Source organism: Homo sapiens, chromosome 14 (genome assembly GCF_000001405.40).
Source record: "Homo sapiens chromosome 14, GRCh38.p14 Primary Assembly".
In the NCBI taxonomy this organism is placed as follows: domain Eukaryota; kingdom Metazoa; phylum Chordata; class Mammalia; order Primates; family Hominidae; genus Homo; species Homo sapiens.
In genome coordinates, this window is record NC_000014.9 from 96,220,822 (window position 1) to 96,248,298 (window position 27,477).

Here is a 27,477-nt window from a genome sequence, read left to right on the forward strand (position 1 = left end):
ATATGAGAGGGATGCAACTGAGGCTACCTGGAGTGCGTGGACACAGCCATGGCCTCAGGTCATCATCTCCCCCACGAAGCCTCCCACACCTCCTGTCCCCAACTTGGGCACACTTCCCACCACCTGGGAGACCCCTGAGGGCAGGCACCATCTGTCCTTCACCACTATATCCCCCTATAAAGAGAGATAATGCAGTGAGGTGCCGGGGTTCAAATCCCAACTCCACCCATCACCAGCTGTGTGACTCTGGACAAGCCACCTCTGTGTGACTCTGGACAAGTCACCTCACTGCTCTATTCCTCCAATTTTTATAAAATTGGGATAGTACCAGTGCCTGCATCTAAAATAGGTGTGGATTACATGAATTATTTCATGGAAAGTGCTTAGAACATTGCTTGGCATTCATAGTAAGCCTCCAAAAACTGAAGCTATTATTATTCCCTGGTTGCTGGCCCAGACTAAGCACTCATAAATTTGTTGAATGAATGCAATGTAAACAGGGAAATGCTCTGTAAATGCTGGTGCAAGCTCATCAGCTTCGTTGTCGTCATCAGCATTGTCCTGATGCTATTCATGGTGGGTGTCCTGTCTGGAGCCCTGCTGGCTGTAGACCACCAATGTGGGCACAGTCCTAGCCCCTCGCTCAAGTAGGGTATGCGAGGACTCAGGAGACGTCAACAGACATTCACAGTATTTACACTGGGACCTTGGAACCAGTGTGGTTGAGTAGACACCCGGAGGACAGAGTTCTGAGTTTATTTGGGAGGGGTTGCCGGGGAGAGTCAGCTGTCTGGAAAGGCTTCCTGGAGGAGGAAGATTTGCTAGAGGTGCTTGAGTGGTTGGTGCAAGGGGGCTTGTGGGGAACCAGAGCGTCCTGGTGTTTAGAGCAGCAAGGAAGAGGCTGGGTAAGGACAAAGGACATTGGGACAGACAGAAAGCCTGACTCTAGAAAGAAGGGGCCAAGGTCACTGGAGAGGAGAGAGAGGAAGGATTAAGGACGATTGAGTGGGTCATAGGGGTTGAGGGCTCTGTGTAGGGAAAACAGTTTCCCACTCAATCCTTTCGATGCCACTGTGATTAAATGTGTGGGTTTATTTCCTCAGAAATTGTCTTACAATTCCGTTCAGTTCTGACATTATCTGCCCGGAGGCAGCACAGGATAAGAGCTCAGTCCCACAAGACTGCCGCCACTTCAGAACCCATCGCAAGTCTCAAGTGGCCTGCACTTCTGACCAACCAGCTGTAAGGCAGGGTTCCCACAACCCCCTCCACGGGTTCAGTAATTTGCTAGGATGGCTCACAGCATCAGGGAAACATTTACTTACATTACTGACTTATAATAAAAGACACCACTCAGCCACAGCCAGGTGGAAGAGAGGCACAGACCCACACGTGGGGCAGGGGCCTGGAGCTTCGGTGCTGTCTCTGGGGGCACCACCAGCTCAGCACTTCCCTGCGTTCACCAACTCGGAAGCTCTCCCAATCCTGTCTTTTAGGGATTTTGATGGAGGCTTCATCATATAGGCATGATGGATAATAAATTCAATCTCCAGCCCCTCTTCCCTTCCTGGAGGATGTGGGGTGAAAGTTCCAAGCTTTGTATCATGGCCTGGTCATTCTGATGACAGCCCCCATCCTGAGCCTATCCAGCCACCACCAAGAGCCACCTCATTAGAACAAAAGATGTGCCTATCATCTAGAAATGTCAAGGGAGTTAGGAGCTCCGTGTCAGGAACTGGTGTCAAAGACCAAATATGTATTTCCTAATATATCACGATATCACAGGTTGTGAGAAGAATGCAATCAATGGTCAAACTCCAGAGCTGCACACTCTCCAATATGGCAGTGACCAGCCACATGCAGTCACCAAGCACTTGAAAGGTGGCTGCTTCAAACTGGTATGCTAAGTGTAAATACACACTAGATTTTGAAGAGTTAGCAGGAAAAAATAATAATATAAAATAACTCAATGACTTTTTGTATTGATTACATATTAAAATAATGTTTTGGATATATTTGATTATATCTCATATATAACCAAAATTGATTTCACCTGTGTCTTTTTACTTTTTTTAATGTGGCTACTAGAAAATTTGAAGTTACTTCTGTGGCTAACTTTATAGTTCTATTGGACATCACCGACCGCTCTAGGCTATGGAAAATTCTGTAGAACAAACAACTGGAAGTTGGAAGAAAAGACAGTAAGAAATAGCAAGGAAGGGTGTGCTGTTGGGAGTTGCTTGGAGGTTGGCGGCACAGGGCTGAAGGCTAGCAAACCGAGCGATCATGTCACACAAACAAATTCACTATTCGGACAGATACGACGACGAGGAGTTTGAGTATCGACATGTCATGCTGCCCAAGGACATAGCCAAGCTGGTCCCTAAAACCCATTTGATGTCTGAATCTGAATGGAGGAATCTTGGCGTTCAGCAGAGTCAGGGATGGGTCCATAATATGATCCATGAATCAGAACCTCACATCTTGCTGTTCCGGCGCCCACCACCCAAGAAGCCAAAGAAATGAAGCTGGCGAGCTACTTTTCAGACTCAAGCTTTACACAGCTGTCCTTACTTCCTAACATCTTTCTGATAACATTATTATGTTGCCTTCTTGTTTCTCACTTTGATATTTAAAAGATGTTCAATACACTGTTTGAATGTGCTGGTAACTGCTTTGCTTCTTGAGTAGAGCCACCACCACCATAGCCCAGCCAGATGAGTGCTCTGTGGACCCACAGCCTCAGCTGAGTGTGACCCTAGGAGGCACAATGTGCTCTGTATCCAGAACACACTTGGCAGATGGAGGAAGCATCTGAGTTTGAGACCATGGCTGTTACAGGGATCATGTCAACTTGCTGTTTTTGTTTTTTCCTGCCTGGTGTTGTATGTAAGGTCACTTGTGGATTTATGTTTCAGCGTACTGGAAACTTTCCATTTTATTCAAGAAATCTGTTCATGTTAAAAGCCTTGATTAACAAGGAAGTTTTTATAATCTAAAAAAAAAAAAGAAATAGCAGGGAAGGCTGTAGGTGAAAAGAAACTTAAGAGACCTATCAAACAACCCAATGTGTAAAGTCATTTGCATTCTGATTCAAGAAAACCAGCTGTGAAGAAAGTAGCGTGAAATTCATATGATTGAAAGTTGTAATACTTCCTGGATAGTTGATGCCATTTAGGAATTATTGTCAGTTTCTTCGAGATGTGATAATGGTTGTCTAGTTATGCTTTCTGAAATAAGAGTCCTTAGCTTTTAGAGAAGAATAGTGAAATATTTACAGATGAAATGACAGACATGCAGGATTTACTGCAAATATTACAGGAGGGGTAAGGTAGGTTTGGGCATAGAGAAAAAGATTGGCTGCGAGTTGGTAATTACTGAAGCTGGGTGAAGTATGTGGAGTTTCATTATGCTAGTCTATCTACTTGTGGGTATATTCCAAATTTTCCATAATAAAAAGTTAAAAAGCAAAAAAAAGAACCATCATCTCCACCTGAGGTTCTGGCCCAGACTGCTTATGTTCAAATCTCAACTCTAGTCTTGCTAGCTGTGCCTCTGTTTGCTCGTCTGCAAAATGGGGATGATAATATTAGTCCCTACATTGCAGGGGTTTCTCTGTAATGTGCTTAAAAATATGGAAACAATATAAATGAAATGAAGATATGTTGCAGGCACTTTGCACATTGTCACGGTGCTCCCAGTGCCTTGTTCCAGGGAGGTTATCCTTATTTACCAAGAGGTTAAGTCACCTGCCCTAGGTCTTCCAGTCAGTGGAGGCAAAGCCAAGACATGTCCCGAGTTCATCTGACTTCTGAGTTCAGGCATGACCTGAATGTTCTTGCCTCGGGCTCAGGGCTCAACATTTCCTGTCTTCTCTGCTTCTCCAGTCCTGAGAGATTCTGGGCCCGTTTCCCTGCAGATCAGCTCTAAGGAACATGCTTCTCTCCTGCTCCTTTCTAGAAAAGGCGTAACATTGGCAGAACCAGGAACTCTGGAATTCTGAAGGTTGACTCCCTCAATTCCAAGGGGCTCCACCTCCTGAGCGGAATTGGATAGAAGACAAAGGTCACATGGCTAGGGTGAGGCTTTGAGATGGGCGAGACTGTGAGCAGGACTGACAGGTCAGGGCCAGGACCCAGGATCTTCAGAAGCCACAGGGAGCAAGGCAGGGAGCAGCCTCCTTTGTGCCACACCCAGTGAAGGGGAACTTGCTAAGACAGATTTGTTCCTCCCATCTCCAGAAGAGCCGTTGGATGCCAATGGGTGAGGAGCTGAACCTCTGCAGACTCAGTGTGCTGATCCCATTGCCTCTGCTTGCATGCCTCTCAGGATGGGGAGTTCACTGCATCCCCCTCTTTAAAGACATTACGGTTGTACAAAGGTCTCCAGAATCATCTGTTACATCCCCTCATTCTCCCAATGAGGAAATTAAAGCTCAGAGATGCCGAGGCATTTACCCAAGGGCACACCTGGTCCTGGGCCTACGACCCTTAGACAATATTCCTTCCACCTCTTTGCTATAGAGTCTCAGACTAGGGATCTTGGCTGGCTGAGAAATCAGGGAAGGCTTCTTAGAGGAGGTGAGATTGGAGGTGGCCCTTGTAGGGTGGCACTAAGATGTCGCTTGATATCCTAATTTTTTTTTTGGCCCTGCCCACCATGTGTGTGCCTGTGCTGCCATGTCACACTAAGCAGAGTAAAATGAAGGAAGGAACGGATGAAAGGGGCAGGAAAGCGACTCCCAGGAGCTGAAAGGGCAATAGTATAGGTCCCTTCAGCACCTAGGATATGTTGTGGGAAGCCCTTAGACCCCAGATACTACCCTGTGCAGATAGGGATAAAACTCCACCTGTCCCAGCTCAGTGCTCTCCCCGGCTCCTCTGGCCTGCTTGCTGGGCAGGGCCCAAACCAGTTCAGGATTCCTTTTTCTCTGTGACCTACCAGTTAGGGTTCTCTGTTTACTGTGTCTCCTCCTCCTTGTTTTGTATACCCAGCTGGGTGGGAAGAAGGTCACAGCCCAGGTTTGCACGTGGTGGAGGAGCAGGGCCAGTAACTGGTTAGGCAGAGACCCCGCCCACCACCCTCCACTCCCACCCTAGCAGGGCCTGTGCCATCCCCAGGACACCGGAGACCACCAGGGGGCTGGAGAGGCTGCGGGAGAAACAGCCTTCCTGGACACACCCAGCTACGGCTCACTTCCCAGCCTGAGCTGTTCCTTAGGAATTGCTTTTCTGGGAAACACACCCTCTTCCAGACCTGCAGCCTTCCTTTCTATGTGGTTTTTGGTTTTGCTCTCTGGTGAGGGTTTCTATTTTTTCCTGGTATACATGAATGGCATGCAGGAAAGTGGAATGAGGACATCATGACCACCATGCAAAGGCCATTGCTCTTAAGGTTTGATGTAAGCTCCCCACTCTCCACCCCCACTACCCCTCTGCCTCGGCCTGGGGTATGAGGTCTTGGTTTTGACAATCAGACAATGTTAGCACACTGCTGTGTCTTCCACCTGCAATGGAGCACTGTAGGACGATTTTAAAAAGCAAAGTGGCAGGCCAGGTGCGGTGACTCAAGCCTGTAATCCCAGCACTTTGGGAGGCTGAGGCGGGCGGATTACCTGAGGTCGGGAGTTCGAGACCAGCCTGACCAACATGGAGAAACCCCCGTCTCTACTAAAAATACAAAATTAGCTGGGCGTAGTGGTGCATGCCTGTAATCCCAGCTACCTGGGAGGCTGAGGCAGGAGAATTGCTTGAACCTGGGAGGCAGAGGTTGCAGTGAGCCGAGATCGTGCCATTGCACTCCAGCCTGGGCAACAAAAGTGAGACTTGGTCTCAAAAAAAAAAAAAATTACAAAGTGGCTGAATACCAAGATCCTAGGAACTAGGTTCAGCCAAACTGGCTGTGTGTCCTGGTAGAATGCCCACCCTCTGTCTCTGGGCCTCCATGCCCATCTCTGTAGCATGAGGGATTCTGATGAAATAATTTCCAAGAGCCCTTCCCACACTAATACTCCAGGATTCTGTAAGGTTAATTTGGCAAGAATTCCAACGGCGGAAGAAAGATGGAGGGAGGAATATGTCCAGTCTAATAACCCTATGCTCAAGTCAGAAAGCCCCTCGGGCAGTGTCCGAGAGGGCTACAGCCCTGGCCCCAGAACCTGAGTCCCTCTAACCTGGGTCAAACCCCTAAAAGCCACTCCAGCAAGAGACAGGCAAAGCCCGGGCTCTTGCTCCAGGCTGGCATTGCCTTGCCGTGTGGCTGTAGACATCGTTTCACCTCTCGAGGCCTCAGTTTTCCCTTCTGCAAAAGACAGGCTGGGGGAGGTTGGGCATTTTCTTCTTAACTACCAGGAGTCTTTCCTCCAATAAAATTGTGATGGAAACCGGATGTCACACAAAGGGAAAGGAAACACTGGCATTTCTGGAGTGTTTGAAGCATGTGAAGTATTGTTTAAGGGCTTTGCAATCATTAATGTACTTTGTGCTCACATTAACCCCACAAAGTAGGTGCTATTATTATCCCCATTTGACACATGAAGAAACTGAGGCCCTGAGGAGTTAAGCCACTTGTCCAAGGTAAAGAGTGGGAGCTGGGCTTCTGATAGGGAGTGGGCCTCAGTCATGAAACCACAAGACTTGTGTAGTTCCAACCCCCTGGGGACATCTCCAGGCACTTGACCCATGCTCTTCCAACATTCATGTATGCACGCACACGTGTACACACACGTGCACACACAAACACACACATGTGTGCACAAACACATGCATGCACACACAAACACATGCATGCACACACAAACACACACACATATATACACACACCAACACAAACACACATGTGCACAAACACACGTGTGCACACAAACACACACATGCACACACACACACAAATGCACACACATGCGTGCACACTGTGGCTACTCCTCTGTAGCCTGCTGGCCACACTCGGCTCAAGCCCCAAATCAAAGGTGACTAGCAAGATTGCGAGACAGATTTCTGGAGATGGGAAACTGCGTCATCAAATTGTCTCAGGGACGGAACACCCATCAGAGCCCTGGGGGAGAGAAGAGACACGGGGTGGCTGCCAATTTTGCTGACCTATGCTGCTGACTTTCCAGCAGCCCCCGACTCCTGTGGCCAGCTGAGCCCAGGTCCAAGCTGCCCCCTGCACAGGGCTTGTTCCCTGGAGGGCTATAAGCCACAGCATCCCCTCCAAGACAGCCAGTCCTGTGAACCTGCTCAATCCCTCACTATTCCTTGGGGCCTGCCCTGGGAGAAGGGAGAGTTCCCTGGACCCCTTCTTGGGACTTGCGGTGACAGGGGTGTGGCTCACTTGCTCAAATCCCTTGTGTGAGGGGAAGCATGCAAGCAAGTGGGTGCTGGGGCCGGGGCAAGCGCTTTTGGGCTCTGGCCCTACAGTACCGTCTAGGGTTGTGTTACAATTAATGCTCTTTTAGAAGTTGCCATTCACTGATGGCTAAGTGTTAACCAACTCAGTGGAGAGTGAGGGTGACAGCCTTTTACACCCTGCCCTCTTGGTACCTGGGTCCTTGTCTGGCATCCAGGAAGAATCAGGTCACACGGACTTGAAGGATGGTGAATGCAGAGGTTTTATTGAGTGATGGAGGTGGCTCTTAGTCGGGTGGGGAGCTGGAAAGGGGATGGAGTGGGAAGGTACTCTTCCAGATGGCTGAACTCTTCTCCAACTGTCCAGCTGCCTCTTCCACATTCAGACACTTCTTCTCTTCTCTCCTTCTCTGCCATGCTGCTCTGCTCCTCTGCCAGTGGAGTTTGGGGTTTTTATGGGTATAGGATGGGGGGCATGGTGGGCCAGGGTGGTTTTGGCAAAAGCAACACTCAGGTGGGAAAACAGGAATGTGAAGTTCTCATTTAGGGCCGTGGGCCCAGGCTTGTGGGTGGGGCTTTTGCCAGAGAGCTGTCCTCCTCTACCCAGTATTTCCCTGCCTCCTGTCCATATCACCTGCACCAAGAACCTCACTGGGTGGGAGCCAATCCAGAGCCAGAGAAAGGACTTGACACTTGGCCTCAGGCAGACCCAGGCTTGAATCCTGGCCCTGCCTCTGATGAGCAGGGTGACCTGAACTGTCTCAGGTTGCCTCGCTGACTCTGCTTTCCCATCTGGAACATGGGAATAGCAATGCATCAGCCACTCAGTGCAGTGTTGAGGCTGGAACAGGTGGGGCACACTGTGAGCTCCATTTCCTTTTGCCTCCACCCAGCAATTATGTCTGCTGGGGAGAAGAGGAGAAATAAGGATCACACCCTGCCCTCTATCAGTCAGTCAACGACCATTTATTAAACACCTACTAGGTGTCAGGCACTTGACAGAGAAATGAAATAACAACACAAGCAACTCTTATAGCTATACCCTATAATAAATGTTATAGAAGCAGGAGGCAGGTAGAGGTGGAAGAGAACCTTCTGCTTGCAGGGGGATATCAGTCAGAGAAACAGAACCAATAGGAGACACAGATTAAGAGATGTATTGCAAGGAACTGGCTTATGTGATTGTAGGGATGACTAGGCAAGTCAGAAGTCGCTTGGGAATGCCAGAACACTCAGCCTTGGACCGAAGCTCCTGCCCGCAAGCTGAATTTCTTCTTCTTCCAGGAAACCTCAGATCTGCTCTAAGTCCTTTCAACTGATTGACTCAGGCCCATGCAGGGAGTTGAGGACAAGCTTCCTTAGTGAAAGCCAGCTGGCTGTGGGCTGTCACCACACAGACAAACTGCTTCACCCCAACACCAAGATTAGCTTGAAATGGAATAACTGGGGCCTGTCATCCAGCCAGGTGGACCCACAGACTCACCGCAGCAGAGCACCTAGAGGCGGCCACGGAGGGTTAGTGACAGAGCAGAATCAGGCAGGGCACCCGGGCAGGGGGCAGACCCAGCAAAGGCTCCTAGGGCAGATTGTAGAAGAGGTCCTTGGAGATCAGGGAGTACAGCAACGTGGCTGTGGCACTATTAAATTAAATTAAATTAAATTGAAAATAAAATTAAATTAAAAAGGATTGGTGGCTCACGCCTGTAATCCCAGCACTTTGGGAGGCCGAGGCAGGTGGATCATGAGGTCAGGAGATCAAGACCATCCTGGCTAACACGGTGAAACCCTGTCTCTTCTAAAAATACAAAAAAAAAAAATTAGCCAGGTGTGGTGGCGGGCGCCTGTAGTACCAACTACTCGGGAGGCTGAGGCAGGAGAATGGCGTGAACCCGGGAGGCAGAGCTTGCAGTGAGCCGAGATCATGCCACTGCACTCCAGCCTGGGCTACAGAGCGAGACTCCGTCTCAACAAAAAAAAAAAATTAAAAAGGATTGGAATAAAGGAATGGTTTAGTAAACAAAAATAAACAAATGCAATGCCTTTTTTGAAGGCGTCATTACTACAGCCATGATGGAGCAACACGGATAAATTCCCATGACAGGAGGTTTCATGTAAAACCACGGTGACAGAACATAGTTGGATGTGGCATACATAAACAGCTGTGCCCAGGGATGGAACTCTGGGAGATTTTCCCATTAGTTTTAAATGCTCTTTCATGTAGTTATTCTTTTATTTTTATGTTTTTGAGACGGAGTCTCGCTCTGTCGCCCAGGCTGGAGTGCAACGGTGCGATCTCGGCTCACTGCAACCTCTGCCTCCTGGGTTCAAGTGATTCTCCCGCCTCAGCCCCCCAAGTAGCTGGGATTATAGGCGCCCGCCACCACACCCAGCTAATTTTTATATTTTTAGTAGAGACGGGGCTTAATATTAGTTTTAAATGCTCTTTGCTGTAGTTTTTTTTTTTTTTTGAGATGGAGTCTCGCTCCGTCACCTAGGTTGGAGTGCAACGGTGGGATCTCAGCTCACTGCAACCTCTGCCTCCCGGTTCAAGCGATTCTCCTGCCTCAGCCCCCCAAGTAGCTGGGATTATAGGCACCCACCATCATGCCCAGCTAATTTTTGTATTTTTGTAGAAGTGAGGTTTCACCATGTTGGCCAGGCTTGTCTTGAACTTCTGACCTCAGGTGATCCACCTGCCTTGGCCTCCCAAAGTGCTGGGATTACAGGCGTGAGCCACAGCACCCAGCCTAGTTATTTATTTATTTATTTTTTTTTTAAAGAGAGAGATGTTATTTTTTTTAAGGGGAATGAGTGGTATTAGGATGTCAAATGAAATTGCTTATTTAATAAAACTGAAAAGCCCAGTTTGGGGAAAGAAACAAAACACACTGAGCAGAATAATCTAACCACAGTGAACAGGAAAAAAAGCCAAGAATAAAATAAGTTCCGGGGTATCCAAGGGTGAGCAAAGCCAGGCCGGCAGGCCTCCTCCTCCCTTGCAGAAAGCAGGATGGATGAGGGGCTCTGCTTCTCCAGGCTCCCTCATGTCCCCACTGAAAGTGTTTCCAGAACATTCCAGGCCCATAAAGTGTCCAAATGCTGGAAGGACTTACATGTATATGTCTGGGATTGAATCAAATCTTCTGACTCAATTCTCTTTGGGAGTTCTGAGAATGGAGGTCACTTCCCAGAACCCCGTCTTCCCCCTACAGACAGCTTTGGCCTTCTTTTCAGGGAAGAAAAGAAAAGGGACTCTTGGAAACCCTGCTGAGGGCCACGCAGCTCTGGTTGTTGAGGCTCATATGGTTTATGAGGCGCCATCACCCCCTTCCGCCACCCCCTGCCTGCTGTGGCCTGAGGCTTACCTTCGTGACTGCCCTAAAAACAGCATCCAGACTCAGTAACCACGTCAATCAGCTTTTAGAGGAAAACATTTATTCTGGGGAGGTGTCAGGGAAAGGATTCAGGAGATCTTGGTTCTTTCTAGCTCTGGCCTTGACATCGACTTGCTGGGTGGTCTGAAGGATTTCACTTATTTACAGAGCGAATATTGTTCAAGAGTTTGGGATGTGCAAAACTCAGCTGCAGGCGTGATGCAGGGTGGGAAGATGAGCAAGGCAGGGTCCTCCTCTCCAAGTACAGCGAATATGGTGGGACAGATGCACATGCACTTTATGCACGCATGCACGCACACCATGTGCTCAGCTGCCACTGAGAGGAGATAGGAGATGCAGAGGGAGAGGGAGAACAGCCGCCCTCTGACTAAGGATGGAGCCCAGCTGTCTCAAGAGCTCTCCTGGATGGACAGACTGGTGGCGTCCCAGCAAAATCCCCCATCTCTCCATCCGGCTGTGTAATGAATGACTGGAAACCTCAGCTGGCCTGTGAGCAGGAGATCTGGCCAGGTGGAAGGGAATCCCTGACACCCCACAGCCCCTGGTGTAGCTAAAGCAGACGGGCCTCCTGGGCTGGTGCAGGAAGAACAGCTTATGTTCTCGAACACATTGACCACGTGCTCCATGCATCTGACACACACGGACTCGTCTACTCCACACAGCACCCTAGGAGATGGGGCTGTTTAAAATACCAATCCCCACTGTATAGTTGAAAAAAACGAGGTGCAATGAGGTTAAATAACGAGCTCTAGAGAGGAGGACTCAATTCACAGTCAGCTTCCAGAGCCCATCGGCCTAACCGCCAGGCTGGCTTCCCGTCCGTAATGCACGTTTCCAGCTAGAGGCTTTCAGGCTGTGTTTCCCACACTTAGCCATTGACATTCACGTTCACAGTTTTTGCCACATCCATGTCACCTGTACAACCATTTCTTTAGTAGTGACTTACTTTTGAACTGCAACTTCATGTCACCAATTTAAATGGAAAATGAGTATCACTTATCATAAAAAAGATGATAACTGTACAAAATAAAAGCAATAGAATGTGAACAATGCTATTAGAGCCTGGGTAGATTCGGGGACCAGCCAAGGCTCTGAACCTGCTCAGTCTGTTGAAAAAGGAGATTACGCACATAGAAAGGCGTTGAAGTGCACGGACACCACGCTGAGACGTTCTTGTTGGCCTAATCAGGAGGAACGACTAGATTATTCAATTCAAGGTTGTTTACCAGGCCAAACTACTTCCCTTGCTGGGAAATGCTTCCCAGCTCTAACGTGCAGTCAGAAAATACGGGACACAAGTTGACATCCGAAGGAAAAATATCTTTTCCTTCTCCACTTCCGAGTTCTTGGTTGGGGGCCCTGAAACAAAAAACAGATGAACAAGAGAAAAGTGAACAAATTAATTTAATGTAAGTTTAATGTGACATGGGAACCTTCATAAGGAAATGAAGTGATTAAGCCTGAGTGCCTTTTTGTTTTTTTGAGACAGAGTCTCGCTCTATAGCCCAGGCTGGAGTGCAGTGGTGCGATACGGCTCACTGCAGCCTCGATCACCCCGGGCTCAGCTGATCCTCCCACCTCAGCCTCCCAGGTAGTTAGGACCAGGACTACAGGTGTGTGCCACCACGCTCACCTAATTTTTTGGTACTTTTTGTAGACACAGTCTCGGCTGTGTTGGCCAGGCTGGTCTCCCACTCCTGGGCTCAAGCGATCCGCCTGCCTCAGCCTCCCAAAGTGCTGGGGTCACAGGCATGAACCACTGTGACCGGCCTGAGTGTTTCCATTAGATGTCATGAACAGTGGAGAATCATGGGGCTGTGGTGGGACCAGGGGGCACGAGCGAAGTACAGAGAACTGGAGAAACAGCAAGGCCTGTCGGGGCTCCTCTCAGTGTCCCCAGTGCTCGGAGTGGACGGTGCCCCTTTCCTCTGGCTGTGGAGTCTGGTGTCCTGCTTCAGGGAACAATCACATAGTCCTTCTGCGCCTGCTGTTTCTTGGATTCTTTCCACTTAAAATATTCAACATGCGAAGCTGCCACATTTTGGGGTAGCGTGCCCTGAATCATTGGCTACAAGGTCGCGGGCCCCACATGAGGCACAGTTGGCCCTTGAGACAGTGACACTATGTATTTCGTGGAGGCCACTGCTTCAAAGGCCCTAAGGTGTGGATTCCTGGGAAACCAAAACAGGCTGTCTCCAAGGCTCAAGTGGAATTGATTTCTAACAGCCCAGGCCCACGGTGTCTGTGCGAGTAAATGAAGAAAGTGTTTTTACAGTAAGTCTTCTTGGATAGAATTCTGAGGGAGAGAGAGAATGAGTGAATCAGAATGTTGGATGTTCCCTCTAAGGCATCTGTTTAAAAAATCAGGGGAAAAACCCAGGAGCAGAGTCATCACCTGTCCCCAGCTCTGAGGATCTGTGTCTGTGAGGCACATGAGTCCACCCTCCTAGCTCTGTAGACAAGGAAACTGTGGTCCAGAGAGATGGAGATCCCACAGACAACGGCCCACCTGGAGCACCCCCTCCCCGCCTGACTTTATATTCCCAGGATGCATTCATCAGGGTCTCAGTAAAAAAAAGAGGGCACATTCCAATTGGGTAATAGGAAGAGGATGTTAATGAAGCGTTTCTTTACAGTGCTGTAGGCAGCATATTGGGGTTCTGCGAAGAGCAGGCAGCACCCTGGGTGCCTCAGGGCTGGTACGGCAAAGCCTCAGCACCCTCCCTACCTCCTTCCCCCCTCGCGATCAGGCCCCTGATAAAAGCAGTGAACTCTGCTCCAGGTCTGGCCAGCATAAAGGCCCCCAAGAGAGGAGCCAACAACACCCCATCCTCCCTCTCACCCTCCCTCAGGCTCCTGCTGGGGCTCCCACTGGCCAAACCCAAAGAGAAGCCGGAAGGCAAAGAGCTCCGTGGTACCCATCAGGGCTCCCAAGCAGGGGCCACAGAGGAGAAGCCAGGAGGTGACCTGGAGCAGGACACAGCAGCTCCCTGACAGGGATCCTCACCCAGGGCACGCCTCTAGAGCAGATGGAGAAAACAACTCAGTAGACTTCAGACTCCCAAATTCTCCCAGTTCCTCAACCCGCCTGCCCTCTGGACTTCGGGAGAAAGTTGAGAGGGAAAGCCCTCAACTTTGTTTTGAAAATGAGAGCAATGTTTACAGCCACTAGCAAGCAATTAGGATCCAGCTGGGCTGATGTGGCCAGATCTGGGGACACCCAGCCAGGTAGATGCACAACAGACCCATAATGGAGGCCAGCGAGGAAACGCTGGACACGTCCCCCATGACTGAGCTGTGAGGACCTGACTTATCTGTGCGGCGGTCACTGTCGTGTAGAAATGGAAGCTGTACATGCAGGCTGAGGCTTCTCAGCTGGACAGTTCAGCCCGAGTGAGCCCCAAGAGGACAGGGGAGGCTGGTCTTCATTCTTCCCCTCTGAATCACCAGCAAATGATAGACCGTCAATAATTTGTTAAATGCTTTTTAAAATGAATGCTTTAAGCCGGGTGCAGTGGCTCACATCTGTAATCCCAGCACTTTGGGAGGCCGAGGCGGGTGGATTGTTTGAGGTCAGGAGTTCGAGACCAACCTGGCCAACATGGCAAAACCTCATCTCTACCAAAAATACAAAAATTAGCCAGGCATGGTGGCAGGCACCTGTGATCCCAGCTACTCAGGAGGCTGAGACAGGAGAATCGCTTGAACCCGGGAGGCAGAGGTTGCAGTGAGCCAAGATTACGCCATTGTACTCCAGCCTGGGTGACAGAGAGAGACTCCGTCTCAAAAAAAAAAAAAAAAAAAAAAAAAAATTACGCTTCAAACACATGATCTCTCACCACTGTTGAATTTTCTTTCTATGAGCCCAGGAGGGCCTCTCAGAGAGGAAAGCTCCTAGGTCTTCCTTTCCCTCTGCAAACTCCCTGCCTTGAAGGATCAGAAGGACTGTGCTGCTCGTTGCATCCTTTGCAAGTTCCAAACCCTGATCCCAGCTGTGCTTAGGGGTTCCTGCAAACCTTTTCCAGGTGTTAATTACCTCCCACTTCATTTCCTGTTTACCAACTCAGCTTTTTGTTTTAGTGTGTTTGAATTCCCTGAACTGACCGTTGTCTGATCTCCACCTCCCAACTGAATTAGGGGAGCTGGGCTTCTGGAAACCCAGGTGCCGGGTGTTGCAGAGTGGCTGAAAGCTGGGATGTGGCAGATCCGTGGCTACATTCATGCACACACACACACCCACATACCCACACATGCACACACACACACACACCTGCACTCACACACTTGCACATGCATAGACCACAGCTTTCCACACCCTTCCTAGACAGGGGTCACTTGGTGTCCTGGAGAGAGTGTGAAGTCTGGAAGGGAAAGAGGGGGGATTAAGCCCCACCTCTAGCCATGGGACTGAGACAAGTCACCCCCACCCATCTGCGCCTTGTTTCCTCCTCTGTGAGGCAAGCACAGAGCCCATGCCTCCCTCCCTGGATGGGAGTGATGTGAAACTTGAAGAGGGGTAGAGACAAGGGTCGTCAATGGAAGCCCCTTGGGCAAAAAGGCCCTTTCAACTAGGGGCACAGAGGAGGCCCTGGGCTGAGAACTTGACAGCACCTTGTATTGGTAACCAGCCGGAGGGACTGGAAATACTCAGATGTGTCTGTCTCCCTTATTAGGTTCAAAGTCCCTCGAGACCCTGTCTCCATCACAGTGCTCCAGTCCAGACCCCTCCTCTGAGCTCCAGACCCTGCTGGACCCAACAGCCATCCCCATCCCCACCTGCCTGGAATTCTCCAAAGAACCTCCCCTTTAACAGTTCCAGCCTTTAACAGTTCCAGTCTAAACACATGACCTTTCTCCTCTAAATCAGCCCCCCATCTCTGCCTTTGCAGGAGATGGAAGCCATGACACCTGCCTCGCCCCTGTCCTCACCCCATCCATGTCCAATCAAGCACTAGGCATGTCAGGTTTACCCTCTAAACTCCTCTGGAATCCAGTCTCTCAGTCTCCATCATCCCAGGTCGAAGCTAATGGGCTAACTGGTCCTTGCTTCCACTCTACCCCCACTGCAGTCCTGACTTCCTGAGCAGCAGCCAGGGCCTAATCCATATTCACACCAAGCGCCTTCCTGACTGAGATATCCTCCTGCACCATCATCCCTCCACCCTGTTTAGTTCTGCTCACCCTCAGTGTTCTCATCAATAATCCACTCGCCCTCACAGGCGCGTTTGGGACCCCATGTTCTATGCTCTCACAGGACCTTTTGCTTGATTTTTCACTGTACTCAGGTCAGTTTGCAGTTATTAAGTGACTGAGCAATGTCTGGCTTCTCCAGTAGACTGTCAGCTCCTAGCCATTGTATCCCTAGCACCGCTGTGTGGGAGCACTTCACAAACGTCCATTGAGTCAGGGACTCAGCAGTCTCCATTTCTCCTCCCTGCTGGAGAATGCGTGTATTTTGCAATCCCCAGCCCCTGTGCCATCTAACCATCTTTTCTTCTCTGTTCAGCCCAGGTGTGGCCTCACTCACATCCCACTCTGAGTCCAAATGTTCTCTCCCTGGAAGATATCAATGTTTCTGTCTGTTCGTGAGGACTCCGTGCCCACCACGGCCTCTTTCAGGTGAGTCAAAGGGATTCCTCAGTTCACTAGTTAGGGGAGGTGGGCAGACACCCTGGAGAACTCCCTGGAAAGCTCAACTCTCATGCCCCGGACAACAGTTGAAGGAACCAGTGATGTTAAGCCCAAAGACAAAACCTCTCAGGTGTCCAAGTCCCTGTAGGCCTGTTGGGAGCAGAGGGAATGTTCTGCGGAACTAGAGGAAGAGGGGCTCAGGGAGAAGAAGGGCACATTCCTGGTTGTCATATGTGATCTATCCCAGATGAACTTGGAAGTGAAGGGAAGAGAGTTAAACATTAAAGTAAATACCCAGTGGATCAGACAGCAATGTGCCAGATTGCCTTGGAGACAAAATATCTCCAACACATGGCTGACATTTGGTGGGAGATCAGAACACCCTAAAGAGAGAATTTAAGGGGAGGGGGAGGAGGACCTGAGCCAGAGTAGAAGCAGAGGATAGGGAGATCTGTTCTTGGGGACAGCATTTGCAAGAAACAAGGCTGAGGGGTCCACTCCAACCTCTCCACCCTGCTGCAGGTGCTGCCTATGATGAAGATGAGCAGATGGCCATCTCAGCTGGGGCCACAGTGCACTGGACCTATAGTTTCCAATTCCGCACTCAGCAGGCATCTTTCTGATGATCCGATGGCTTCTCAGAGCCAGGGATGGGCCAGGATCCATCCCCTTGGCTACTGTCTTGCTGAGAAATTAATAAGCAGCATCTGGTGCTATACTTTGGTCTCTAGTGAGTTAGCTCATGAAAGATGACAGACTCTCCAAGCCAGGGGTATGCAGGAAATGGGTTTTCTGTAGCTACAGAAATGGGGTTGAGGGTTGGACCAAGGGGACTACCCAGGGGAAGTCTTACCTTCAGAGGACTCTGGAAAGGAGGCTGCAAGTTTTCATGGGTCAAGAATTCAGAGCCCAGTAGAGACAGCTTATCTCTGTTCCAAGATGTCTGGGGCCTTGGTTGGAAGATTCAAAGGCTAGGAAACCAGGAGCCACCAAAAGCGTAACTGGGGCCAGAGGATCCACTTTCAAGGTGGCAAGTTGGTTCCCCCCATGTGGCTGCTTGAGTATCCTCACATGGCGGCTCACATCCTTCCAAGTAAGCAATGCAAAAGGCCAAGAAAGATGCTGCAAAGCATGTTATGACCTAGCCTCAGAAATCACACACCATCCCTGCCACCATTAGTAAGAAGTCCAGCCCACGTCCAGGAGAAGAGGAAGCAGATTCCTCCTTTTGAAATGAAGAATATCAAGTAATTCGGGGGGCATATGAAAGCCACCACACACCACAGGGATCTTTTTAGAGCATACTTCTTATACCATCACTGTAGTTCCTTAAGACTCAGGGGCAAAGCCTCACTTCCTTAGCACCCAGTGAAGACCACGCTTACTCCCTCACTCAACCTCTTGCTACTTCCCACCTCTCCTGTCCAACATCTAGTGTCACTTTCCAGAACATACCAACAGCTTCCCCAGTTCTGTGCCTCTGCTCAGGCTGTTCCCCCTGCCTGGTCCACTTGTCCTCCTTCTTGTCCCGTCAAAATGCTTCTTATCCTTCAAGACCCAGCTCTAGAGTCACCTCCAACCCCTTACCCACCAGCCCCCTCTCCAAGTCTGTGTCCCACAACCCCCCTGCTCCCTCCAGGGCACCCTCCACCCTCTGGGCCACAGTTGTCAGGAGTCAGGCAGGGCAGGGGCCGGGTGGTGTCTTCTTTGTGTTCTTGCACTCAGGGCAGAGCTCAGCACAGAGCAGACGCTCAAAAAACATTTAAAGGATAGAAGCATTGATTTGTGGGTCCCCCAGTCTGGCTCCAGGATGCCAGCCAGCTGCTCCTAGAAGCAAACGGACTTTTCCTGGGAAATCCCAGAGGTGATGATCAGTATCTCTCCCGTGACTCGTAGTTCAGCTCTTCCTCCATGAGCCTGACTATCAGTGGACCTTCCAGAAAGAGCCCCTTTTCCTTCTCTCACCCACAGCACAGGGCACTGGGAAAATGCCCAATGAGTCCTGCCCTCTGGGTTGTGCTTTGGACTTTTCAGTGTGTCTTCGCATCCACTCTTCAGCTTGAATGTTGCAACAGCCATGAAAAAAGAAATGCAAAGCGATTCAGGATGAGAGCAATACCCTACTCCAAAGAAGGCAAAATAGAAGCTCAGAGAGGTCAAGCATTTTGCCCAAGACCACACAGCTAGGAGTGGAACTCATGGCTGTCCAAGCCCCACGCCTCTGCTGAAGGTAGAGATGAATTACAGCAACAAGTCTAGAAAGGTGCCTGCCCTATGGTCTGTGAGTCTTGCCTAAGAATGAAAGAGGAGCCAGTGGGTTAAAGATGAGGTCACCAACAAACGGTGGTGTTGGAGTTTACCACTGGTTATTTTAATGGGTTTGCAAGAATTGTTAATTACTAATGTTTATTGAGCCTAGTGCAGTGCTTGGGGCATTTTGCACATTGTCTCTGATCCCTATCACAACCCTGAGAGGTAGTTTTTTTAACTCCCATTTTACAGGTGAGGTCATTGTGGTTCAAGGACGTTAAGTAACTTCCCCAGCGTCACACGGCTTATAAGTAAGGCAGCCAGGATGTGAACCCAGTAGGACTATCTGGCTGCAAAGTCCCCACCCTCCCTCGCCATCTGTATCCTCCAATCATCTTCAGTGCTTTGCTGATAGAAGGTACGGAAATACGATGCCACAGACTGTCCAGGAAGACAGAAACTAGGCAGATGGGCTGGCCATGGTCTCCAAGCCAGACTGGAATCTCCAGGTCTGGAATGATATCATTTTTCTCTTTTAATAAATTAACTCACCCACCACACGGCTTTGAGAGGCTCAAAGGTGACCAACTCCCTTGGGAGGGCCCCGGTTGATAAGGAAGGAATGTGAATCCTCCCATCACGGAAGCTTCAAGGAGGTCAAGGGTCCAACACTTGAGATTGTTAGTGCTGTTGGTGGATACTGGCCAAGGAAATATCCCAGTGGAGCCTCGAGATGAAGAACATGAGGCCCCCGTTTAGATCCAAGGATCAGAGGGGGCTCTGTAAGACCCAGGGGAGTCAGGTGCACTGGAGCGCGGGCTGCAGAAAACAGCCTGAGCTCCACCTCGGCTTCTCCTTGCCCTGGCTGGTTGTCCTTAACCCCTGTCTCCTTCTGGACCAGTTTTTGTCCTTCCCTTGTGACCCTGAGGGGTAACAGCCTCTTTTCCACTTTCTTTCAGCGCCGACATGCTCAATGTCACCTTGCAAGGGCCCACTCTTAACGGGACCTTTGCCCAGAGCAAATGCCCCCAAGTGGAGTGGCTGGGCTGGCTCAACACCATCCAGCCCCCCTTCCTCTGGGTGCTGTTCGTGCTGGCCACCCTAGAGAACATCTTTGTCCTCAGCGTCTTCTGCCTGCACAAGAGCAGCTGCACGGTGGCAGAGATCTACCTGGGGAACCTGGCCGCAGCAGACCTGATCCTGGCCTGCGGGCTGCCCTTCTGGGCCATCACCATCTCCAACAACTTCGACTGGCTCTTTGGGGAGACGCTCTGCCGCGTGGTGAATGCCATTATCTCCATGAACCTGTACAGCAGCATCTGTTTCCTGATGCTGGTGAGCATCGACCGCTACCTGGCCCTGGTGAAAACCATGTCCATGGGCCGGATGCGCGGCGTGCGCTGGGCCAAGCTCTACAGCTTGGTGATCTGGGGGTGTACGCTGCTCCTGAGCTCACCCATGCTGGTGTTCCGGACCATGAAGGAGTACAGCGATGAGGGCCACAACGTCACCGCTTGTGTCATCAGCTACCCATCCCTCATCTGGGAAGTGTTCACCAACATGCTCCTGAATGTCGTGGGCTTCCTGCTGCCCCTGAGTGTCATCACCTTCTGCACGATGCAGATCATGCAGGTGCTGCGGAACAACGAGATGCAGAAGTTCAAGGAGATCCAGACAGAGAGGAGGGCCACGGTGCTAGTCCTGGTTGTGCTGCTGCTATTCATCATCTGCTGGCTGCCCTTCCAGATCAGCACCTTCCTGGATACGCTGCATCGCCTCGGCATCCTCTCCAGCTGCCAGGACGAGCGCATCATCGATGTAATCACACAGATCGCCTCCTTCATGGCCTACAGCAACAGCTGCCTCAACCCACTGGTGTACGTGATCGTGGGCAAGCGCTTCCGAAAGAAGTCTTGGGAGGTGTACCAGGGAGTGTGCCAGAAAGGGGGCTGCAGGTCAGAACCCATTCAGATGGAGAACTCCATGGGCACACTGCGGACCTCCATCTCCGTGGAACGCCAGATTCACAAACTGCAGGACTGGGCAGGGAGCAGACAGTGAGCAAACGCCAGCAGGGCTGCTGTGAATTTGTGTAAGGATTGAGGGACAGTTGCTTTTCAGCATGGGCCCAGGAATGCCAAGGAGACATCTATGCACGACCTTGGGAAATGAGTTGATGTCTCCGGTAAAACACCGGAGACTAATTCCTGCCCTGCCCAATTTTGCAGGGAGCATGGCTGTGAGGATGGGGTGAACTCACGCACAGCCAAGGACTCCAAAATCACAACAGCATTACTGTTCTTATTTGCTGCCACACCTGAGCCAGCCTGCTCCTTCCCAGGAGTGGAGGAGGCCTGGGGGCAGGGAGAGGAGTGACTGAGCTTCCCTCCCGTGTGTTCTCCGTCCCTGCCCCAGCAAGACAACTTAGATCTCCAGGAGAACTGCCATCCAGCTTTGGTGCAATGGCTGAGTGCACAAGTGAGTTGTTGCCCTGGGTTTCTTTAATCTATTCAGCTAGAACTTTGAAGGACAATTTCTTGCATTAATAAAGGTTAAGCCCTGAGGGGTCCCTGATAACAACCTGGAGACCAGGATTTTATGGCTCCCCTCACTGATGGACAAGGAGGTCTGTGCCAAAGAAGAATCCAATAAGCACATATTGAGCACTTGCTGTATATGCAGTATTGAGCACTGTAGGCAAGAGGGAAGAAAGAGAAGGAGCCATCTCCATCTTGAAGGAACTCAAAGACTCAAGTGGGAACGACTGGGCACTGCCACCACCAGAAAGCTGTTCGACGAGACGGTCGAGCAGGGTGCTGTGGGTGATATGGACAGCAGAAGGGGGAGACCAAGGTTCCAGCTCAACCAATAACTATTGCACAACCATCTGTCCCTGCCTCAGTTCCCTCTTCTGTAACATGAAGTCGTTGTGAGGGTTAAAGGCAGTAACAGGTATAAAGTACTTAGAAAAGCAAAGGGTGCTACGTACATGTGAGGCATCATTACGCAGACGTAACTGGGATATGTTTACTATAAGGAAAAGACACTGAGGTCTAGAAATAGCTCCGTGGAGCAGAATCAGTATTGGGAGCCGGTGGCGGTGTGAAGCACCAGTGTCTGGCACACAGTAGGTGCTCATTGGCTCCCTTCCACCTGTCATTCCCACCACCCTGAGGCCCCAACCGCCACACACACAGGAGCATTTGGAGAGAAGGCCATGTCTTCAAAGTCTGATTTGTGATGAGGCAGAGGAAGATATTTCTAATCGGTCTTGCCCAGAGGATCACAGTGCTGAGACCCCCCACCACCAGCCGGTACCTGGGAAGGGGGAGAGTGCAGGCCTGCTCAGGGACTGTTCCTGTCTCAGCAACCAAGGGATTGTTCCTGTCAATCAATGGTTTATTGGAAGGTGGCCCAGTATGAGCCCTAGAAGAGTGTGAAAAGGAATGGCAATGGTGTTCACCATCGGCAGTGCCAGGGCAGCACTCATTCACTTGATAAATGAATATTTATTAGCTGGTTGGAGAGCTAGAACCTGGAGAGCTAGAACCTGGAGAACTAGAACCTGGAGGGCTAGAACTGGAGAGGCTAGAACCAAGAAGGGCTAGAACCTGGAGGGGCTAGAACCTAGAGAAGCTAAAACCTGAGCTAGAAGCTGGAGGACTAGAACCTGGAGGGCTGGAATCTGGAGAGCTAGAACCTGGAGGGCTAGAACCTGGAGGGCTAGAATCTGGAGAGCTAGAACCTGGAGGGCTAGAATCTGGAGAGCTAGAACCTGGAGGGCTAGAACCTGGAGAGCTAGAACCTAGAAGGGCTAGAACCTGGAGGGCTGGAATCTGGAGAGCTAGAACCTGGAGGGCTAGAACCTGGAGGGCTAGAACCTAGAAGGGCTAGAACCTGGAGGGCTGGAATCTGGAGAGCTAGAACCTGGAGGGCTAGAACCTGGAGGGCTAGAACCTAGAAGGGCTAGAACCTGGAGGGCTAGAACCTGGCAGGTTAGAACCTAGAAGGGCTAGAACCTGGAGAGCCAGAACCTGGAGGGCTAGAACCTGGAAGGGCTAGAACCTGTAGAGCTAGAACATGGAGAGCTAGAACCCGGCAGGCTAGAACCTGGCAAGCTAGAACCTGGAGGGAATGAACCTGGAGGGCTAGAACCTGGAGAATGAGAAAAATTTACATGGCAAAGAGCCCATAAATCCTGACCAATCCAACTCTGAATTTTAAAGCAAAAGCGTCAAAAAAAAGATTCCCTCCTTACCCCCAACCCACTCTTTTTTCCCACCACCCACTCTCCTCTGCCTCAGTAAGTATCTGGAGGAAGAAAACAGGTGAAAGAAGAAGTAAAAACCATTTAGTATTAGTATTAGAATGAAGTCAAACTGTGCCACACATGGTGAATGAAAAAAAAAAAAAGAGGCTGTGTTTTGTCACACAGGGCAGTCATTCAGCACCAGAGCACGTGATGGTCTGAGACTCTCTTAGGAGCAGAGCTCTGCCGCAATGGCCATGTGGGGATCCACACCTGGTCTGAGGGGCAACTGAGTCTGCGGGAGAAGAGCGGCCCTATGCATGGTGTAGATGCCCTGATAAAGAACATCTGTCCTGTGAAAGACTCAATGAGCTGTTATGTTGTAAACAGGAAGCATTTCACATCCAAACGAGAAAATCATGTAAACATGTGTCTTTTCTGTAGAGCATAATAAATGGATGAGGTTTTTGCATAGCTCTAGCATTTGTTACAACTCCCGAAACCCCCGAGTTTGGTCCCTGGGGTACCGCCTTGCACACTCAGAAGCCTTTGGGAAGGGGTGCTATTCATTTCTGCTCAATCTGTTAACAGGCTTCTGGCATGTAGATCAGTGGTCTCCAAGCTTTTGTGATTGTATATTCCTATAGGAAAAAAAGAATTGATTATGCATACCCAGTATGTATACTTATTAATCTGTATGAAGATGTACATTCTAAAATATAATCAACCAGTAGAAATTTAAGAAAGAAGATGTAAAAAAAAAAAATATTAACAGTGCTTGAATATTTCCTTCCATCTTACATTTCTGCAGGGATAACTCATTACCAAGTTCCCACTACATGAATGTGAGACCCTCATGAGGCCTAGAATCATAGGCGCAGCAGCGATTCAATCATTTATTCATGCAATATAGACTTACTGAGTGCCTACCACTTGACTTCCCTTCAAATCAGGAGTATCTTCTACAATATCCTGATGAAAAGCCACTTGTTTCATACTCCCAGTGATGGGGAATTCATTATCCATGCCACTTTGGGATCCCTTCATTATTCATGTATTCATTCCTTCACTCATTTATTAAACAAAACTTGCCTAGTCTGTCTCCATAAATGCCCCTCCTCCATCCATGCATCCATCCATCCATGCCAGGAACCTGGGGCTCATCGCTCAACGTACCCTCTCCTTCATCTGTTCCATCTGGTGGGTCAGCACCTCTTTTATTTTTTTCTAACTTTTATTTTGAGTTCAGGGGTACACGTGCAGGTTTGTTACATAGATAAACTTGGGTCATGGTGGTTTGTTGTACAGATTATTTCATCACCCAAGCATTAAGCCTACTACCCATTAGTTATTTTTCCTGCTCCTCTCCCTCCTCCCAACCCCCACCCTCCACTAGACCTCAGTGTCTGTTGTTCCCTTCTTTGTGTCCATGTGTTCTCACCATTTAGCTCCCACTTACAAATGAGAACATGTGGTATTTGGTTTTCTGTTCTTGGGTTAGTTCGCTAAGAATAATGGCCTCCAGCTCCATCCATGTCCCCGCAGAGGACATGATCTCATTCTTTTTTATGGCTGCATAGTGTTCCATGGTTGTATATGTACCGCATTTTCTTTATCCAGTCTATAATTGATGGGCACTTACATTGACTCCATGCCTTTGCCATTGTGAATAGTGCTGCAGTGAGCACTCATGTGCATGTGTATTTATGATAGAATGATTTATATTCCTTTGGGTATATACCCAGTAATAGGATCAGCACCTCTTTTAGATTCTACTCACTAAGTGTTTCCTAAATCTATGTTTCCTTCTATGTCCAACCATCGTCTGTCATGGGTGCCTCCAATACTAACTACTACCATCTCCCAATTCTTATTCTTCACTCTGCAGCCAACATGGTCTTTTAAGAATGCAAATACATTCATGGGGAGGCTATAAACATAGAGAACTGTGTTCAGGAGCCAAGACTTTAGGATTAGGTAGACCTGGATTCCACTTGTGGTTCAGCCTTGGGCTCTTATTTGCTGTGTAGTCTTGGGTACCTCAGTTATCCTTTCTGAGTCAACATTTCCTTGTCTGCAAAATGGGGATAATAATGGTATCTACCTCATAAAATTGTTAATAGGATTAATGTATGAAAGCATCTAGCACAGTGCCTGGTACATAGTTGGCACTGAACATGTACTAGCTTTGATGATGATGATGATGATGATGATGATGATGATGGTGGTGGTGTTGGCAGTGAGTGTGATGGGGGCATCCTCCAAGGGAAACCCTTCCATAGTGTCCCACCCCTCTTGCGATAAGGTTCTACAGCTGTAACATGGCTTGCAAGACCCTTCATGATCTGGTCCCTGTCTTGTCTCTATGTCTCCCTCTCTCTGCTCCAGGCTCATTCTCTACCCTCCAGCCATTTGGACACAAGAACCTAGACAGATCCCAGAAGATATTTCATTCTGCCTCCAGTGCCCACTCTTCCCACCCAGACTGCACCCCCTCACTAAGTGCCCTGAACTTGGAGGAAGTTGTCCACAAGTGCCCAAGGGAGCTCACTCCTCCAGGGAATTTTGTTCACAGATGCCTGCATTACTCAAGGGAGTCTGCAATCCAGGGGAAACCACATGCCTGGAAACCTGAGCAGGGCTCTTAGCAGGCAAAAAAAGAAAAAAAAAATGCTGGGAGAGCCTCCCCAGCGAGGCAACAGGAGCAGCCCCTCAACTCCTGACCCTCTCTGGCTCCAGCAAGCTGGCGCAATGAGAAGAAGTCCAGGTGGGCTCAGGAGACCAGGCAAGGGGCCTAGCTCCTGAGTCTTCCCTGGCCACAGAGGGGTGAGAATAGGATGCAGAGATGCAAACTGGACACCAGATGACCTCATGGGAATTCATGCTAGTGCTGGAGCCTCTTGAGCACAGCCTTCATGACTCAGAGGGGGAGTGTCTCCATTGTGTAGATCCCAGCCATGTGCTGCATTATCTCCTTGTTACCCAATTCCTGACCCTTATGTAGCTCTGATCCTTCACCAAGGATGAGGGTGGGGAGCAGGGATGAGCAACAGAGGTCATGATTTGGCAACAGCAATGGCTGAAAGTTTAATCGTTTGTTCATGAGAGTTTTATTCTGGTTTTAGTTTTTTATTTTGTTTTGCTGGCTGAGGCAAAATAGTCCCAGGTCAAAGGGACCCCATCAAAATACTTCACGCTCACAACCACTCTGGGAGTTTGCATGATCACTGGTTCATGGTATGGAAACTGGGGCCCAGAGAGGGAAGTAACTTTCCAAGGCCATGCAGTTCTTAAGGAGGGTGCTCTGGAAATTCTCTCTGTTCTTGGGGTGTTCATGCCTTAACAAACCGAGGATACAAATTCTGTCACAGGAAAAGTCCTCGAAGTGCCTTCTTGCATGACGAGCTTATGACCCAGGGCTTGGGCTATTTCTGCCACAATAAAAGCTTTGCATCTCATAGGCCTTGTGCATACTTGCTTCCTGCAGATCACCTTCCCAGAGCTGGTGGATGTAATTCACATGCCGTAGAGTTTACCCACTTCAGCTTTTACTTAATAACCAATTCATGCAACCATCACTACTGTCTAATTCCAGAACACTTTCATCATCCCCCAAGAAATCGCATATTCATTAACAGTCACGTCCCATTCTCCCTTCCTCATGGCTTTGGGCAACCACTAATCTTTCTGTCTCTAGATTTACCTGTTGTGAAAGAAGCCAGGCACATGTTGTAGGATGCTGTCTCTGTAGAGCCTATAACACATGCCTTTTGTGTCTAGCTCCTTTTACCTCCTAACACTGAGCTAGAATGTTTAATTGTTGGGGGAGAATTTTGGGGACCAGTCCATGGGTTCCCTACCATGCCACTTGTGTGATCTCAGCAAGCCACTTTACTCATCTTCCCTCCCACCACCTTTGGCCTTAGTTTTCTCGTCTGTCAAGTGGAGAGATAATAAGTCATGACTCTAACAGGTTTCTGGCATGTAGATCAGTGGTCTCGAAGGACTGCCTTATGTGATGTTGATGCTGTCCTCTATAGTTTACGAAGGCCCCAGCACCAACAGTACAGGGGCTTGGAGGCAGGTTCCTGGTTCACATCTTACCTCTGCCACTTCCCAGCTGTGGGAATTTGAAGAAGGTCAGTGAATTTCTCTGAGTGTCTCTTTTCTCATCTATTAAATGAAGATCCAAGTATTGTGAAGATTCAGTGAGATAAAGATGTTGTGATGAGTTGAAGAGTATCCCTCCACCCCAACTCATGTCCACATGGAACTTCAGAATATGACCTTATTTGGGAATAGGGTCTTTGCAGAAGTAGTTAAATTAAGATGAGGTTACACAGGTTGAGCATTCCTAATCCAAAAATCTGGAATCACAAATGCCCCCAAATCCACAACTTTTTGAGCACTGACATGATGCTCAAAGGACATGTTATTGGAACATTTTAGATTTTGGATTTCTGGATTAAGGATGGTCAGCTAGTATGTATTCTGCAAATACTCCAAAATCCAAAAACATTCAAAATGCAAAACACAAAAACTTCTGGTCCCAAGCATTTCTGGATAAGGGATCCCCAACCTGTACTGGACTAAGGTGACCCTTAAA

General features: G+C 49.3%; 1 protein-coding gene and 1 pseudogene across 2 annotated transcripts in view, besides 1 other annotated feature; both read left to right on the top strand.

Moving 5' to 3' along the window:
* BDKRB2 (bradykinin receptor B2) overlaps window positions 1-23,343 on the top strand; it is a 39,326-nt gene extending 15,983 nt beyond the window's left edge. Inside the window, exons 2-3 of one of the 2 annotated variants that reach the window (NM_001379692.1) lie at window positions 16,248-16,360; window positions 19,582-23,343. In NM_001379692.1, the coding sequence (NP_001366621.1) occupies window positions 16,287-16,360; window positions 19,582-20,683 (1,176 nt within the window). In that variant the 5' untranslated portion in view covers window positions 16,248-16,286 and the 3' untranslated portion in view covers window positions 20,684-23,343. The remainder of the gene's footprint in view (window positions 1-16,247; window positions 16,361-19,581) is intronic. The other variant, NM_000623.4, reaches the window with a different exon arrangement.
* Window positions 2,224-2,998, top strand: CKS1BP1 (CDC28 protein kinase regulatory subunit 1B pseudogene 1; annotated as a pseudogene).
* Window positions 10,511-10,706: a silencer, noted in NCBI's record as "fragment chr14:96697669-96697864 (GRCh37/hg19 assembly coordinates)". NCBI's record gives its function as "represses an EF-1alpha promoter that drives an FKBP-Casp9 reporter gene in an ReSE screen in both phorbol 12-myristate 13-acetate-treated (for megakaryocytic differentiation) and untreated K562 erythroleukemia cells {active_cell/tissue: K562 | K562(+PMA)}" and the evidence as "EXISTENCE:reporter gene assay evidence [ECO:0000049][PMID:32094911]".
* Window positions 23,344-27,477: the final 4,134 nt, after the last annotated feature.